Source organism: Homo sapiens, chromosome 7 (genome assembly GCF_000001405.40).
Source record: "Homo sapiens chromosome 7, GRCh38.p14 Primary Assembly".
Classification (NCBI taxonomy): domain Eukaryota; kingdom Metazoa; phylum Chordata; class Mammalia; order Primates; family Hominidae; genus Homo; species Homo sapiens.
In genome coordinates this window covers 112,000,555-112,019,318 of record NC_000007.14, presented here as the reverse complement: position 1 = coordinate 112,019,318, position 18,764 = coordinate 112,000,555, and the positions used below count along the sequence as shown (strand labels likewise).

Sequence of the window (18,764 nt, the reverse complement as noted above, 5' to 3'; positions counted from 1 at the left end):
TCATGCAGGTACACCTTATTCTAGCCATGCTTAGTCATTTGAGCTCTTGATTCTTCTTTTTGTTAATGGGAATTATCTGTAAATTCTTGCACACCTAAGGAACAATATGTCTCATCCTCAATTTAATTTTTGAACGTTGAATATATTTTTGGAACTTTTTAAATTGTCTTCCAAAAAATGAAATACTTTGAATTGTTTAACATTTTTCTTTTGAATCTTATTATCTTTGGGCACTTGTTATTTCACTTTGCATTAGCTGGATCGCAATGTTATGGGTACCCACTTTGTATATGAGCACCAAGGGCATGCACATTGTCAGATTTAGTTCATGGACAGACCAAGTCACCTCTGTTGATGGTCAGAAAAATAAAAACAAATGCAAAATTATCATTTGAACCAAAGAACTGCAATAGATGGATTGTTCCTAATTAACCTATTGTGAAATCAGTGACTGCTTTTGGCCCTAACACCAGACCTATTGTTTGTTTTTGAAGATATTTTGGAAAATTTATCTCATTTGTTTGGCAAGTTTCATAGTAGAGGGGAAAGGAGAAATATTTCTAAAGATTTTAACCCTAGCTAAGCATAGGGATTTTGATTTCCATGAAAAAATGGGTGGGGTGGGGGAGGGGGATGTAGGGAGTATTTTTTTCAAGTTTCTTTTAAATAATGTAGCTTTTGGCAAACAAAGACAACCCAGATTTCAATTATTGTAGACAACATCTGGAATCAATAGTTTCTGAAATTTACAGTGAGAAGAAAGTTATGGAAAGCTAATTTCATTAGCTTATAAAATTGGAAGAGCAGAAGAAGAGAGGGCATGATTCCCAGGGGAACCTGGTGCCCTCTAAAAACCCTGAGGAGGAATTTAAAAGTTCATTTATAATTGATAAGTGCTGAGTTGGTAATGTTCATTTTTATCCTGATTTGGCTATTACAGTTTCATGAATTTTGCCTTAACTTGTTATTAAAATCTCTATGATAAACAAGCAGCATTTTTTTCCTTAATATCTTTTCATTTTAAAAATAGTCATTGAGAGGAAGCAGAAAGGCTTCATAGAGAATTTATACAGTGGAAATAACAGAGTTTTATTAGTTTCCTAGATAACATAAGCCACATGAATACTGGTTGCCTGTGTTTTTTTTTTTTTTTTTTTTTTTTTTTTTTTTTTTTTGAGCTGGAGTCTTGCTGTGTTGCCCAGGCTGGGTTCACACCATTCTCCTGCCTCAGCCTCCTGAGTAGCTGGGACTACAGGTGCCCGCCACCATGCCCGGCTAATTTTTTGTATTTTTTTTAGTAGAGACGGGGTTTCACCGTGTTAGCCAGGATGGTCTCGCTCTCCTGACCTCGTGATCCACCTGCCTCTTTTAGGAAGAACCATGAATGCCAGGTTTACAAGTACCATATGTAGAATGATGTGAGTGTTCCTATAAGGCCTTTCTAGTCCCAGTACTGTGCAAGTCTGAAGAATGGCTGACCTGGGCTTGACCCAGATCCCAGAAGACATGAGTCTTCATTCCCTCAACTCCCATTGGTGAGGTAGCTACTATATTTTCCACAGGGGTTGGGATAGGGTGTGGTTGAGAGATTGGTGTTCTCAGTGCAGCTATGTTCCCTTGGGGAAAAGGGAAATGATGGAAGAAAGCAAGGTGTGTTCATAATTATCCAGTCTCTCCTGAGGGCTGTGAACAGTATGGATGGATCGCCAGGTTGTGGCAAAGTTAGGGTGAGGCTTTTCAGGAATCAAGGTTTTCTAGGTCAGGTGGAGAAACACAGTACTGAGGAAGAGTCAGCTCATGTTCATTGTGTCTCCACATTTGCCAAGACCTCTCTACCTCTCCCATACTATATTGCCTCTGCTATGTATAAATCCCTCCCATCACCCAGTTTTCATTACATGTGTAATTATTATTTCAGTTGTTTAATCGATTAAGTAGGCTATTATGAGGTAGCTTCAGAATTTAGTTACTGATTCCAACTAGCCAACTTTATAACATTTCCAAAATGTAAATCCTTTGTAAGATGCTCACTGTAGTTTGAAGCCAGTGTCTTATTTTAAGTAAGATTTTAATAGTTAAAATCAGTTAAGCCATACATACAGTATGCCACAGAATTAATAACTTGTGATAGCTTCTGTGAATATCAGTAAGTCCTAAGACCTTAGTTAAAAATAAGTGTTATTATACAAAATAATTAGGAAGTCTAGATTCCTGCCAGAAAATGAAACAAATATATATAATTTTATCTAGATTCCTTTATAAGTCAGTGATAATTGCAGTGAAGCTAGAGAGTTTGATTCAAACCTGAAGATGATTACAGTTAATCGTAGGACCCATCGAATTTTCCTTGAAAATGTTGGCTGAAATCGCTCAAAAGCAATCTTTTAACCAAACACCCATATACAAATTATTTGGTTAAGGAAGTAATATCTAAAGAGATCATGCCGTGTATGAAAATTGGACAAAAACGTTAATTTGTTTCCATTTTCTGAAATAAATGAAATGTTTTTCATTTTCTGAAACACTTGAAATTTCACCTGATATACTGAGTAGTCGTTTCAAGGATGCCTATGGTAGTAGTATTAATTTTGTACTTTATGTTAAAGAAATCAAGACTAAACTAAGTATATTGTATCCACTTCAAAAAGAACCCATTACAGGTTTTGATTGCAATTGAAATAATCCAGCTGTGTCTGAATAACCCTGTGACAAACATCATGATTAGAAATGGCTAAGGTTGCAAGGCAAAAATTATCAATGGATGTTATGAGATATGATGAAAAACAGTATATTTGCATAGTCTGAAAGTATCTTCCCTTAAGATACTTGTTACTTACAAAGGCAAAAATAGTAACTGTACAGTGGAGAAACCTGGGACACTTAACCAAGTGATCAAAGTTAATATCACCAGTAATAAAACCTATCACCATCATGTACCTCCTGATGAGATACACCAAGCAGGGCACACCATCACTTCTGTGATATTCATGCCAAAAATGCATATTCTACATTTAATTGTGAGGAAACAACCCAAAATTTAGAGATACTCTGCAAAATAAATGGCCAATATCCTTAAAAGTAGCCAAAGTCATGAAAGACAAATACTGAGAAACAGTCCAATATGGGAAGAGACTAAGAAAATGTAACAACTAAATGTGCAATCCTGGACAGGACAAAGATGACATTAGTTGGACAAGTGGTGAAATTTGCATATGAACTGGAGAATAGTTAATAGTATAAGTTATGGTTTAAATGTTTTTGTCCCCTCCAAAACTTATGTTGAAATGTAATCCTTTTAAAAACTCAGGTGTTGCCAAAAAGACAGTATTAAGAGGTGGGACCTTAAGAAATGATTGGACCATGGGGACTCCTCCCTTGTTAATGGGATTAAGGCCCTATTCAAAGAGGCTTCAGGCTGTGTTTGGGTAGTTTACACTCATGTTCTTCGTCCTTCCACCATGTGAAGACAAAGCAGAAAGGCTCTTAGCACAATGCCAGTACCTTGATCTTGGACTTGCTAGCTTCCAGAACTGTGAGAATTAAATTTCTTTATAAATTACCCAGCCTGTGATATTCTGTTACAGCAGCACAAAATGGACTAAGACAGTATATTTTTTCAACATTAACTTCCTGGTTTTGGTAAATGTACTATATTTATTTAAGAGCTTCACATTTGCTGAAGCTTATTTAAGAATATATCTTTATACTATTTGTGTTACTTTCTTCTTTTCTTTCCTTCTGTTACCAGAAAGGGGTCCTGATCCAGACCCCAAGAGAGGGTTCTTGGATCTCAAGCAAGAAAGAATTCAGGGCAAGTCCACCGAGCAAAGTGAAAGCAAGTTTATTGGAGAAGTAGAGATAAAAGAATGGCTACTCCATAGACAGAGCAGCCCTGAGGGCTGCTAGCTGGCTATTTTTATGGTTATTTCTTGATTATATGCTAAACCAAGAGTGGATTATTCTTGGAGTTACCAAGGAAAGGGATGGGCAATTCCCAGAACTGAGGGTTCTTCCCCTTTAGACCATGTAGGGTAACTTCCAGATGTTGCCATAACATGTGTAAATTGTCCTGGTGCTGGTGGGAGTGTGTTTTAGCATGCTAATGCATTATAACTAGCGTATAATGAAGTGAGGACCACCAGAGGTCAGTTTCGTTGCCATCTTGGTTTTGGTGGGTTTCAGTTCTTTACCACATCTTATTTTATCAGCAATGTCCTAATGACCTGTATTTTAGCCCTGCCAACATCCTAATTCATCCTATGACTAAGAATGCCCAACCTCCTGGGAATGCCACCCAGTAGGTCTCAGTCTTATTTTTCCCAGCCTCTGTTCAATATGGAGTCACTCTGGTTTGAATACCTCTGACAATTCTTCTTTCTTCCTTTCTTTTCTTCCTTTTCTCTTTCTTCCTTTCGAGACAGGATCTCACTCTGTTTCTCAGGCCGGAGTGCAGTGGTGTGATCATAGCTCACTGCAGCCTGGAACACCTGGGCTCAAGCAATCCTTCTACCTCAACCTCTTGAATAGCCAGGACCACAGGCACACACCACCACGCCTGGCTTATTTTTGTAACTTTCTTATAAATCTGAAATTAATTCAAAATTAAAAGTTAAAAAAAGGCAGTGGGCTTAATTTTTTTCCACATAAGAATAATAGAACTAACTATAAGTGTATCTGTTTGCTGTGTACATTTAAAAATCTCTGGCAATATAAAACACAGAGGTGTAGAACTCTGTGAGGTGTAGAAGGAGAACTAGCCTGAAAGCAGACCTCAGCACATGTGAGTCATGGTTTTGAGAATGCTTTTTGGTAGGAGAGTACATCAGCACTTTAAGATGGTGTGTGTTGGGGCTGGGTCCCTATCTTCCAGTTCGCTTTTGTGGTATTTGCTGAACAATTAAGAGATCCTCATTTCTAGGTGCTCTGCTGGTTGGAATACTAGTCCCTTCCTTAAAGATGTGTTTAGTCTTATTGAGGTAACAAAATTCCTACCGATGGTAGAAATTGATAAATTTGATAAAAACTAATAAAATGGATTAAATGCGCATAAAAGAAGTGCTAATTGAATGACCAAGTGACAAAATCCAAGCACCTGAAGAGTTGTCCATCTACACATTCTGAACTGTGTTTTGTAGCAAACAGAAAACGTAGGAAACTTCTTTCTCATGACTTAATAACTCAACACCAGTGCAAAGTGTTATCTTCACCATTGTATTCCCAGTGCCTAGCACAATACTGGCACATGGAGAGTAACCATTAAATATTAATTTAATAAATAAGTCAACTGCACACCTTGGTGATTTCATCCCATTATATATTTAACTGACACTTGTTGAGTACCCACTAGGTGTCATGCATTGTGCCGGGTATTGGGAACATAAAGGAGCCGCAGAAGTAGAGGTGGTGAGTGAGTATAATCAGTGTTGGAGGGACGTAAATGGGATTGGTGTGGTGGAGTTAGGGTACAGGCTAAGCCTTCCTTGAGGATGGAGGGACTTAAAGGGGATTGGTGCAGTGGAGTTAGGGTACAGACTAAGCCTTCCTTGAGGATGTCAGGCCTCTGAGCCGAAGCTCAGCAGTTGTAACCCCTGTGACTTGCAAAAGCTTTATTGCTCATACAAAACCTGTTTGCTGGTCTCTTCACATGGACACGTGTGACCGAGGAGGATGCTTGCGTTGTTTTGAAGAAGACCTGTTAAGGGGACAGGAGTAAGAGGCCCACATGTCAAGTGGAGGGAAAAGCAATGGGAAAGGCATAGATAAGAGAGGTTCAGTGGGACTGTTGAGTGGGGAGTTGTAAAGGGTGAGATTGGAAAACTATGCAGGAGCTAGATTTTGAAAGAACTTTGGACTTTGTTCCTCTATTTCTCCGTTGAACTGTTCACTGGCTCCCCTATCTCCTTGAGAAATAGTTTTTGACTAGGTGTCAATGGCCAGAGCCGGTAAAAATTGGTATTTGTTCAAAATTGGAAATTGGCTTAGTCATCAGAGCAAAAGGGGGAGTAATTGTAAGAATTTAGACTTTGACTTCTTCTGACTGTAAGGCAATTTGTAGGTAATAATCTAGCAGACCTCTTAAGAAGTCAGCACTGGGAATGGGAGTCAAAATCCACATTGGAAAAAAGAATACCTAAGAAGAAAAAATCAGAAAAATAAATGCTTAGTTGTATGAGGAAGATGAGTGATTGGAGCTGATACAGGACCGAATATTATGCTGGAGAGAACGTTATAGAAGAGGCTGCAAAAATAAGCTGGGCATTTTAAAGTGGTGTGTGTGGAGGCTGGGTCTCTGTCTTCCAATTCACTTTTGTGATATTTGCTAACTTTTTTTCGTGACTTTCATGATACTGGGCTGGCCTGCTGAGTCCCTCCGGTTGCGAGGTGGAGGTGGCAGTGATATTTGCATGTCCCACTTCAATTCTACTGTGTTATATGTTTTGTGACTTTGAGTATTTAGTATTCAAAGAGAGAAATCAGAAAAAAAAAGGAACAGAGGGATATAACATTTCTTTTCTCTTATAAAAAAAAACTAAAAGTAACAAAAAGTCAGCAAACTTAATCCTGTATCTTAAATAATCTTAGTTCTTAATCTTAAATAATATTATTTGAATATTAACCATCTCTCATTGGAAAAAGGAGGTTTTTTTTCATTTATTTTTTCCAAATATTGGTGGTGGATTAAGTACAATTGGTTGGAAAATGATATTTTATTAAAACAGTTTTTCATTTGGATTGTGGGAAAAGCAGTTGCCTTCTGTAACTTCATTCTCCACTGGGACATGAAGACTGTATTGTAATTTTTTCCTGCCTCGTGCTGTCTATCGTCCCTTGCACAAATAATACTGTTGTGCAGAATGAATGGTAAAAGTTGCATCTGCCTCCCTTCCTAACTCTGCCTTAGCATTTTTGGAAAATCCCTCTTAACCCCGTTACTTTCCTTATCAGTCTCATTGCCAAAGATTTTTTTTTTTTTTGCTGCCTTATCAGAAAAAGCAGTATTATCAGCTTTTTTTCCTCTTGAGGTTCTTAAGCCTGCGTCTGTCTAAGTTTAACTTAATAACGATTTCCAAGAAACTGTAATAACAGAATAGAGAAAGGGTTTTTTATTTACTATTATAAATGGAAGGCTTATTTTGGCTTTTGAATCTATAGCAGATTCAGATCTAGCTTCCAAATTTCCAGTTAACAATTATGATGAAAAAATTCTATTATTTCATATTTACTTACACATCAAATTCTCATATATTTGTTTGATCCTTGTGACATCCTGTGAGGTAGGCCAGGCAGGGGGTGTCATCGTGGGCTAGCAAATGAAAGGACCAAGGACCACATGGTTCATAATTGGTGGAGCTAAATCCCAAGCCTCCATCTAATTCACATTGTTACCCTTTCCTAAGTGCTAGGAGGCTTTTGAAATAATTGGGCTTTCTCTCATCTCATCTAGGATGCTCCTTTTGACTGGCTGTTGCCAAAATCTTAACCTTTTAATCATATTACATTGTTTTTAGAAGTATGGATAGGTGGATGCAATAATCAGCTTAAACTTAAAGGTTTTTTTTTTGTTTTTTTTTTGACCTTCAGTTCTTCTTGTAGCCACTTAGGAAAGGACCTTAGCATTTGTGACATGAAATCCAAGGTGAAGAGCCTGTTTATGACCCTTTGGAGAATAAAACGGGTTCATTTATTGCCACCGTGACAATGTCTTCAAATCTGAATGTGGAAAAATTCCCTCCTGATGTTGTTAATTCTCTTCCTTGTTTGCCTCTTTTTTTTTCTGTTTCTCTATCTCTAAAATGAGTATTGAAATGTCTGTGTCATAGAAGGTTAGAACTAACACATGAAAAACTTAGCAAAATCCTTAAGATAAAATAGTAATGCAATCATGTTATTTTTTCTTCTCCCTTAGAAAGAGGACTTTAAACAAATTGGGCCAGAAGTAAATTCTGAATGGGGAGTGCTTGAAAGCTTGTAAGAGGCTGAGCCCCTCAGGAAGCAGACCCTGAGATGGAGATTGGCTTGCAGGGTATTTAGCAGGAAGTCCTCTCGGGATTCACCCCAGTGCAGTGACGAGGAAGGAAGCAGAACTTGCCAGAGGGCGAAGTTGATCTGTGATGCAGGCCTAGTGACAATCTTGGTCAGTTAAGTGGGAATGGCCCTGCAGAGTTATACCAAGTTGTAGTGCCAAGGCCCAGCCTTCACTGGATGTAAGCCACCCTGGGAAGCAGCCCCAGCCTTGAGCAAAGCAGCTCTCTTCAGCTGAAGCCATCCCAGAAGGGTGCTAGGGTTCGAGGACTATCTACCCCAGCACTCCCAGCCACAGGGAGAGTCATTGATTTCCAAAGAAGGATCTGGGAGGGGCATCACAGTACCTACCACCATGCTTTGCCTTGGCCTTGTGGTTCAAGGAGGATGACATTCTGCAATCCCTGGGAGAGCTATCCTCTTAACAGTCAAAGGCAGCAATATATTTTCAGGTGGTACCTTTTAATACGTCAGAAACAATTACGTACCTTTCATTCAATATGCTTCTGATTTTTCAAAGTCACATAGGCCAGAAGAGAGTTGCGTGACATGTCTCAAAGGCTGACCGTGATAACTGGCATAAGAATGCAGTCCTGCTTTTGAGTGTGCATATATTTGTGCCTCTTAGGTGAGCCTGCAAGGTGTGTGAGGCCTGTGGGCACAGCCTATTACCAGATGAAGGCAGATCCCAAACATGTGGCAGGTCTGAGGATCAGAAGATGGAACACAGCATTTCTCTATTCTTCCCAGTGAGTTCATTTGAACCATAGAGCAGTATCCAGGAGATACCACTTCATCTCCACGTAGTCCTACTGTGACACACATAGCCACCTGGGAGTTCCCAGCGGTAAGGAATAACCAGCTTGCTCCTAACTTCATCTTTTGGAGGGAAAAAACTGAAGGGAATAAAGAAGAAAAACAGTTCTATGCTATACTTTCAAAATGACAGTACCAAAAGAAATCTCCAAATGACTTCTGTCTTTCCTCCAGCCCTGTCCCAGACAGCTAGAAAACAGGGAAGTACCTTGAAATAGACTACTGATGTGTTTTTTTCCACCATATTTTATCTTTCCCTACAGTGGGGTTTTGTACATATGTAGAAGAGGTGACCCCTTTTCCTTTTCCATCATAGTTCTCCATTTCATGAACTAAAGTACCTGAGAAAAATTTAGTTCTCCTTGGCCAGGCATGGTGGCTCACACCTGTAATCCCAGCACTTTGGGAGGCCAAGGCCAGCAAGTTGCTTGAGCTCAGGAGTTTGAGACCAGCCTGAGCAATATGGCGAAACCCCATCTCTACAAAATATACAAACATTAGCCAGGTGTGGTGGCGAACGCTTTCAGTCCGAGCTACTGAGGAGGCTGAGGTGGGAGGATGGCTTGAGCCTGGGAAGTGGAGGTTTCAGTGAGCTGAGTTCATGCCACTGCACTCCAGCCTGGGCGACGGTGAGACGCTGTCTCAAAGAAATGAAAACAATTTTAAAAAAAAGAATTTAGTTCTCCTTAATCCCTTTCCTTTTTCTCTGTTTTTTCCAAATCTTATCGAGGTTCTTCAGAAATTCTACCCCTTTATCTCTTTTCCATTTGTGATCCCCCCAAATAATCCTCATAAATGTTGATAAACCTTAATGGATACTTCCATGACACGCCAGAGCCGAATGTGAAATGAACATGGATGTAGGAAGGAACCAGTCTGAAGACCTCAGAGGTCTAAGAATTCCTTTAGAATGTCTACAACACCGATGCCTGCTCCATCACTGCCTTCTGATGGACACTGCTATGTTTTCAGACCAGTGTTCAATATTTTACAAGCACTGATATAAAATTTTATATTTAATTCTGGTGCAGTCAGCTTATTTTTGCTGTGAAAAACAACAGTTTCCTTTTGCCATGAAATAGGATTCTGTGGGCTAGCCTCAGAACTTGAGAAGAGTAGCTTTGTGTGTTCTGTGTTGTAAGCAGTTGACTCATAAGTGACCTTTTAAACCACAACCTGTTCATGAGTTGGAGATCCTTTTAGCAGAAAGATGAAGCCAAAATCTGGCCTGAAGAGAGAAGTTTTCCTTCCTTTGTATCACAAAAGACAAAGCATTTTAATGATTTCTTTCCTGCATTATGTTCCATTCCTCTTAGATGGTCAGCCTGTAAAGGGCAAGGGCAGCATGTGCTGGGCTGGAATTGACCTGTGCCAAGTAGAATCATTTTGAATATTATTTTGACAATGATGAGGAAGAATATGTTATTGTCTGTGGCTTACAGCTATGTGATTGACTTATAATAATTCTTTGTTTGTTTGTTTGTTTTGGAGATGGAGCCTCACTCTGTTGCCCAGGCTGGAGTGCAGTGGCACGATCTCAGCTCACTGCAACCTCCGCCTCCCGGGTTCAAGCGATTCTCCTGCTCAGCCTCCCAAGTAGCTGGGATTACAGGCACCCGCCACCACGCCCAGCTACTTTTTGTATTTTTAGTAGAGACGGGGTTTCGCCATGTTAGCAAGGCTGATCTCGAACTCCTGACCTCAAGTGATCTGCCTGCCTCGGCCCCGCAAAGTGCTGGGATTACAGGCATAAGCCAGTGTGCCTGGCCAATAATTCTTAATACTTTGTTTTGATTTAAAATTTTAAAAGTCATGGACTGTTGTGATTGAGTTTCTTTGTATTCAGTTTAAAAGTTTTAAAATGTCCATTGGTTCTTGGCATGAGCAAATAGCATCATTGAAACCAAGGAATGAGTCCCCATTTCACTGCATCATTTACCTTCTTTTTATCTTCCTCATAGAAAATTAGGAGTTGTGTTTGAGACTGTTTCTCACGGCTATTTAATTCTTAATAAACTGTCAATACGTACTAAACTGATATCATTATATAAAGGAATGATACTGTTAGTAATAACAGGCAGTTGGTTAGGACATCTTTTTCAAAATGGTTATGCTATGAATTTAGTGTTTTCAGCTGACAGATATTTTTTAAGGACTTTCCTGTAAACTGGGTTTATATACATATAAACTGGGTTTATTAATCCAAGTAAATTTTTCCATAGTAGCAAATGGGCAGAGATGAACACATCACCACAGCAGTAGTTTTTATACGCAGTTTAAAATTGTGCTCTCAGGGCCCGTATGACTAAAATAATAGAACCGAATATTTATATTCCCAGCTTTACCAAAGGTTCATTTTCTGTGATTGTTTCCTGTAGCTACTAAGGATCAATTTATAAGAAACTGTTCAATTTATAAGAAAAACAAGAAAAGGAAATGGAGGGATCAAAACACTGTATAGGCATCTTTGGTAAACCGTGATATTATTTGGGGGAAAATGCCCCTGGGAAGTGTACATGAATAAACTTTTGTATAAAGAGATAGCTACTTTATAATAACTGGTGACAATGCATTTTCAATTATAGATGTATTTCATGCAGAAACACTTGGAGAAATTTAAAGGGATTTAGTTGAAAAGTTGTTTCCAAATAGAATTTGAAAATAACAGATACTTTAAGTGCATTTGACAGAATTGCATATTGAAGCTTCATTAATGCATACGTGGTGTATGGGTATCTGCTTTGCTAAACTGGTTTTCCTTAGTTTATGATACATTATATGCTACCACTGAGAAACATGAGCCAACCATATTTTCAAATTCTTCGCTCTTTACCTAGAACTGCCTTTCTCTTTCATAACCTGAAGCCTAAACATTTTTCCTGAGTATAGTATCCATCCATCTATTCATTAGTACACAGCAAGGTGGAGTTACTTGTCTAACTCAGTGATTGAGAGTGACTTGCCATTTTAGAAGATAAAGATCAAAGTCATTCCTTGAACTATAGCCTGAAAAATATTCCTCTCCAATATGATCCGCAGTTTAAAACTTATTCCTTAGATACTTTTAGTTACGAGAAGAGTCCCTGAGGTTGTCCGAATCCATTAAAACCTAGACACCATTCCTCAGTGGCTTCATTCATTCATTCATTCATTCATTCATTCCATGTATTTGTACTCCATTCTTATACTCAGATGTTCATGCTGGCTCTTGAAAGATGAATGAGAAATAGTTTCTCTTCCCAAGTAGAAAGACACAGATAGACGAAGTGCTGTAATATTATGTGATGCCTTACTATATTTGAGGTGTGGTCGGAGTGTCCTGAGAACACAGATGAGGGAGTAATTGTATTCCACATGGACCCACGGATGACAAAAAGGAAGGAGTAACATCAGGAAATCTTCTAATGTCCTAACCTTGGAGCAAAGCCTTAAATTAAAGCTGCTTTGCATTTCCCAGTGTAGGAGTGAAGAAGGCAACCCCCTAAATAGAGAATAATAGATGTAAAAGCACTGAGGTCTGCAAGAAAAAGCTTAATGAGAATTTGTGTGTGGCTGAGCATAGGGCAGTGTGTGGAGAGTTGGGTTGGGTGTGAGCCTAGAAAAGTCGGAGAGCAGTTGATAAGGGCCTCATGAGATGCTGAGAGCAGGCTGTCTCTTCTGCATTATCAGATGGCTGTTGCAGGTGGAGACAAGTGTCCACTTGATCACAGGCAGTGATTACACAGACAAGGCTGGTTTGGAGGCAGAGTTCTTTGGTAAGTACTATGCCATGTCACTGCTGAGCTGAAAGTCCTCTTGCAGACTCAGAATTTGCGACTGGCAGGGGAATTTCAGTTCATTTGTCTAGCTCCTTTGTTTTATAGAGGAACCATCTGAAGGCCAATGAGATTAGGGAACTTCTTTGCTTACCTTTAATGTTTATTACATATTACGTAGCTGAATAGTCAAATCAGAATTCACCCACATAGACCGTTTGGATAAGAAATGAGATAATACATGGTTATGGCTCAGACAAGCTGTCATCCCAGTTTTAAACAACTCCTATGAAAGAATGAGTTTTCCCATGTAATGCAGTTTTTGGTTCTTAGATTTTTAAGCACACTCTTAAAATAGTATTCTCAATAATAAAAGAACCCGACTGTTGAAGACCAGAGCATTTAATGGTGATGGCCACACCCTTAAACCATACCCTCATTCACTCACCCAGTGATTATTTACACCCAGCCACACCCTTGTTCACTCACCCAGTGATGATTTACAGTGAGGATGTGGAGATTCTGAGAGGTTGATATCCTGACCGAGGTCACACAGGTAATAAGTGATGAGATTGGGGTTCAAATCCATGTGTCAAAATGCCAGGCTTGATGCTATTTTCCTACACTTGAGTGTCTGGAGAATGAAACTTGGATCACACCAACCTTTAAGAGGAGGGCTAAGAAAGAAGGTGTGGAGAAGGCTGGCGAGTGTGACAGAAGCAGTAGAAGATTCAAGAAAGGGAAGATTCCTGGAAGGCAAAATGAGTGTGGCCACATTGAGGGGACTGGAGATCTTAGTAAAGCAGTTTCAAAACACAGCAAAGGCTGGATTGCAGGGGCTGAGGAAAGTGAAGAAATGAAGTCTATTAGTAGTACTGCTGTGTTCAAGAAGGTGATGAGGAAAAAGAGAGGAGAGCCAGAAGTGCGGGAGGCAGCCCTGGGTGTACAAGGGTGTTCCTGAGTGGTAGGAGCTGTGTACAAAACTGTGTTGGGAAGTCCATGCACCAAGACTTCTAAGAGAAACATCAGTAGTGCAGAGTTTGGAAAGGCAATTCTGAGTATAAGTTTGGCTTGAAGTCTTTTAAATTGCAGTCAATCTACTGTCAGTTCAGTTGCTGATCCCTTGTAAGAAGAGGTCTCTGAAAGTTAAATGAAGTAATCTGTCAAGATATATAGACCCTTGATTGTTTTGCCAGCAAAATGCTTCTTGCACGTCATTATGAGGCTAATGGTATTCATGGTTATAGTTAGAAAATGATATCATAAATTAGTGCTTGGCTAAATGTTCTGAATTGGTTTCTATCCATATAGTTAGTTTGTTCTGTCTCATGGACTTTGGCTTGTGTTTTCTGTCCTGTGTTTTGACCTCTACTGTTAATTTTGTTTTGAGATCATAAAAGGGCATGAGACTTCTCTAAAAGCTCATTACTTATTGGCATGTTTTCATTTTTGACAGATTGGTGTGTTCCTTTAGGTTTTTAAAATATACATTCCCAACAGTAGCAATAACTTATTTTGGGGATTGGAGTTATATCTAAATCTCACTCTGAAGCAAAATTATAAGTTTCCCTCCTAAAATTTTGGCCTTTTAAGAATCATTTTCTTTTGATGTGAATTGTTAGTTGATTTCAGTGTGCATAGTATTTCATAGGAGCTGTCTTCTTTCTTTTTGTGTGTTGAAATGCATTTTCTTCATTTCTCCATATTTGCCTCCTTTCTGACTCAAGCTTTACTTACTATTCAGGGAAGAATCACTGAGCTTTATTCTCTCTATAATTCCTGGAGTTGCCAGAAAAGGACTAATCTGTGCGTACTTTCTCCGTATGGATACACCATCCTAGTCCTGTCCTGCCCTGCAAAATGTTTCAGAAACCAATTAATCTAAACCATTAATCTATAATTAATTGTGATCCCCCTCCCCATTCCAAGTGGTATTGTGCAAGTGGGAATTGTGGTGGCTGTGTGTTTAGACCTGCGGGAGGGCCCAGTCATTACTAAATAAAGTGTCTCCGTTGATTACTGCAGAAGAAGACTGCTTTTATGCACCACATACTATGCTAGGCTCTGGGCACGTAATGGTAAGCAAATGGATGCAGTCCCTTCTCTTGAGAAACTTACAGTTTATGGAAAAGAAATCTGCTCCAAACAATATAGCAGAAAGGTAAACCAAGCCTAATAACAAGCAGGAAATATATTCCTCGTTTATTATTGAACACATATTTATTAACTACTATGGGCCCGGCATTTGGATGAGGGAGTGAAGAAAGCAGTGAAACAAAAGGGTCACAGTCCTTTAAGGAGCTCTCAGGCAATACCTTTGTTTATATCTATTATTGAGTGATAGCATTGATATATTGTGTATTATTTTAATAAATTTCATATATGTGAAATGCATATTTATAATAATCTAAGAAGTTGGCAAAGTATGTGAACTTAGTGATTTTCTTAGAAAGATATAAAATTAAAATATGACAGAGGGTTCCAGCTATCAAATTATACTTCCTATTTATATTCATTTTTCCTAGTCAATAACATGTAATAATAAGCTGTAATGGACATGATTGTCTTCATATATTCTTTATCATTTTTTACAGTTATTGCCAGTTTCCGAGGAACCGTTCCATATGGCCTGTCATTGGAAATTGGAGATACAGTTCAGATCCTGGAGAAGTGTGATGGTGAGTAGCCTTATGAACAACCTCCTCAACATACGGCTGTTCATAAAGTCTACAAATTCTGTCCATACCGCTATTAATCTCTGGAACTTTTCCAGTAGTCACCACAAGTCATTTTTGACAAAATTGTTTCCTGCATTTTCAGTGTTTGGCTAATGGAAAGGCATCATTTCCTATTTTTAAGCTGATTATAATATTATTTCCTTATAATCATTAGATGCAAACAGAGAAAGCAGTTGAAGTTACCATATCTGTGGGAGTTCTTGACTCAGTGCCAAACTAGAAGGTTTTTCTCAGAATCCTCAGGATCTAGTAGATCCCACAGGACAGGAAGAAGCAGAGGCCCAGAGCAGACATGGCTTACCTGAGGTTGAGTAGCCAGATGCCTCTGGAGGGCTCCTGCCCAGGCCAACTCTGCTCCAGGCCTATAGTTTCTTCCCCTCAAACTTGGAATAAAATTATTCAATGCACTTGAATAATATTAGTAGAATATATTGTCTGACTTTGTATGATGATTATTAATTTATGTAGTAGGCAACTCATTTAAGATAGCTAATGGTTCTCAAATGTTTCCATTCCTGTTCCATGAAACATCCTTAAATGCTAGTCCTTAAAAAGATTTCTGATCAAATGACTACTTTGTTTTGTTTTTTGTTTTTCTTTGAGACAGGGTCTTCCTTTGTCACCCAGGTAGGAGTGCAGTGGCATGATCATGGCTCACTGCAGCCTCGATCTCCTGGGCTCAAGGGATCCTCCTGTCTCAGTCTCCCAAGTAGCTAGGACCACCGGGATACTTCATTATGCTTGGCTGATTTTTTTATTTTTTATTTTTTGTAGAGACAGAGTCTCACCATATTGCCCATGCTCGTCTCAAACTCTTGGCCTCAAGTGATCCTTCCACCTTGACCTTCCAGAGTGCTCAGATTACAGGCATAAGCCACTGCACCCAGCTTTCCTTTTTCTTTTTTTCTTTTTTTCTGTTTCCTTTTTTTTTTTTTTTGAGATGGAGTCTTGCTCTGTCACCCATGCTGGAGTTCAGTGGCGGGATCTTGGCTCACTGCAACCTCTGCCTCCTGGTTTCAAGTGATTCTCCTGCCTCAGCCTCCCGAATAGCTGGGATTACAGGCACATGCCACCACACTCAGCTAATTTTTTGTATTTTTAGTAGAGATGGGATTTCACCATGTTGGCCAGGCTGTCCTCGAACTCCTGACCTCAGGTGATCCACCCACCTTGGCCTCCCAAAGTGCTGCGATTAGAGGTGTGAGCCACCATGCCCGGCCACCCAGCTTTTCTTGTTAACAAAATGACTACATTTTAGAGCCCCGTTAGTATATCCGAAAATACTCATGTTTTTCCTCTTTTAAGGTTTTCCTTACTAGGAATTTATATTATGATGATATTTTTATCATATCAAGGTTTATTATAGATGAAACTGTATTCCCCCAAACAGAACTACGACATTTAGTTAGACCCTAGCATTAGATGCTGGTGATATCGGAATGTTTATTCTGTCCACTGTGATTGATACCTTAAAAAATATAATAAGATTTCCTGTGTTATTGCCAGATATATTTTGTCTGTTACTACTTTGTATACAGATAAATATAAAATTTATTGTGAATTGGTGCATGAAACTGGACTGCATATCTAATAGGAGGTGTTTTGTAATCTAAGACTTTTTCTGTATAGTATAATTGGACAGAGACCTCTCTATGACATTTTTGCAATTCTCAAGAAGTTTTGTTTTTTGTTAGAATAATTATTTACAAATGGATGTATTTCTTGGATCTGTCTTTATGGCAACTGATAAACCCTGAGATATAGAGATTCTGATTTTCAGTTCATTCTGCTCTCCTCAGACTGATTTTAAAACTGTTAGGGACGATATTTTACAATATATCCTTTTAAGAAAATGTATTATGAGGAGGAAAAATGTTTAAATACAAAGCTCAAATATTTGTTTTGTATTAAAATTTTGCCTAAAATTTAATCATTGAAAAAATTCTATTAGGCATAATATTTACTACATAGTATAATAATTTTTTTGCCAATGAGCAAAATGGTCTTTACACTTGAAAAAATACAATATATATCCTGATTTGTTTTAAACTATAAAAAGACATGTAAGGATAGTGCTGCAAAATTGATTCAGAATTGCTGGGAGCTTAAATCCAGCAGTCCTTGAGCCTGCTTATTGGCAAGGGATGCGACCTAAGACCCCCAGGATACCTGCAACCTTGGATGGTACTGAACCTTATACATCCTACATTTTTTCCTTTACATGTGATAAAGTTTAATTCATAAACTAGCCACAGTTGACAAGAACTAATGATGAAATAGAATAATTATAACAATATTCTGTTCACAGTTTCATGAATAGAAGATTCATTTTTACCTAGATTTTAGCAACCTCAGCATATGATTTTTTTTTCTTTCCTTATTAAATTCAAGAACTTTCACCTTTTCACTTAAAGCACTTTATGGCTTCTCTTTGGCACTTCCCAGTTGCCAACATCACTACTCTTGTGCCTTGGAGCCATGATTAAGTAAAATAAGGGTGACTTGAACACAAGGACTTTAAAACTGTGATCCTCAATCTGGTAACCGAGAGGGCTAGTAAATAACTAATGGGTGGGTAGCACTGACAGTGTGGATATGCTGAACAAAAGGATGATTCATGTCCTGGGTGGAACTGAGCGGGCAGGCACGGGATTTCATCATGCTACTTAGAATGGCATGCAGTTTAAACCTTATGAATTATTTCTGGAATTTTCCATGTAGTATTTTTGCACCCAGGTTGACCATGAGTAACTGAAACCGTGGAAAGTGAAACCGCAGATAAGAAGGGCCTACTATAATAGTCATTCTACAGAATAAAAATTACGCTGAGCTCTTGGTCAGCCATTGTGCTGATGAAAATGTGCCAGTTAATTCTGGCAGTGAATGATGGCTTTACTCTTTGTATGATATGAGACTGATCTTAACCCAAGACCGTAGGCTTAAGGATGTGCAATTCACGTCATGACTGTTGGCCAGGTACTATTATTTGGTGGCAGAGTCTGGCGTTTGTAGTCAGGCAAGTAGAATTTGGAAATGTATGAAATCTTGTGCAGATTCTTGACTTTCCCTGTGACATAATGTGGCCTTTCATAAAATGGGAAGAAGTGGTACTCAGAGATGTCAAGTAACCTGGCCAAGATTAAACAGACAATAAGAAGCAAAGCCAGAATTGAAGCCCAATGCTCTGATTTTAAAGCCTTTATTCACATTATGTATTTTTCTGTTGTTTATAAAAATTTTTGATACAGTTTTTTAAAAATGGTTTTATTAATAGAATTCTTATGTTTGGTCACTCGAGCTATTTTGTAGCCTAAGGCCAATACCTACCATATTTATCCATAGAATCTTTTCATGTATGGTAAAATTCCATCGGCAAAGAACAGATTGATTTGTTATTATCTTTAAAATATTACAATGGTTTATCAAAATATGA

The 18,764-nt window shown here is 38.6% G+C and overlaps 1 protein-coding gene across 14 annotated transcripts in view; it reads left to right on the top strand.

Annotated features, from left to right (window-relative positions):
* Positions 1 to 18,764, top strand: part of DOCK4 (dedicator of cytokinesis 4) — a 480,290-nt gene that overhangs the window by 187,081 nt on the left and 274,445 nt on the right. For all 14 annotated transcript variants that reach the window (XM_047421081.1, NM_014705.4, XM_006716189.3 and 11 more), the window contains exon 2: positions 15,188 to 15,271. In XM_047421081.1, the coding sequence (XP_047277037.1) occupies positions 15,188 to 15,271 (84 nt within the window). The remainder of the gene's footprint in view (positions 1 to 15,187; positions 15,272 to 18,764) is intronic.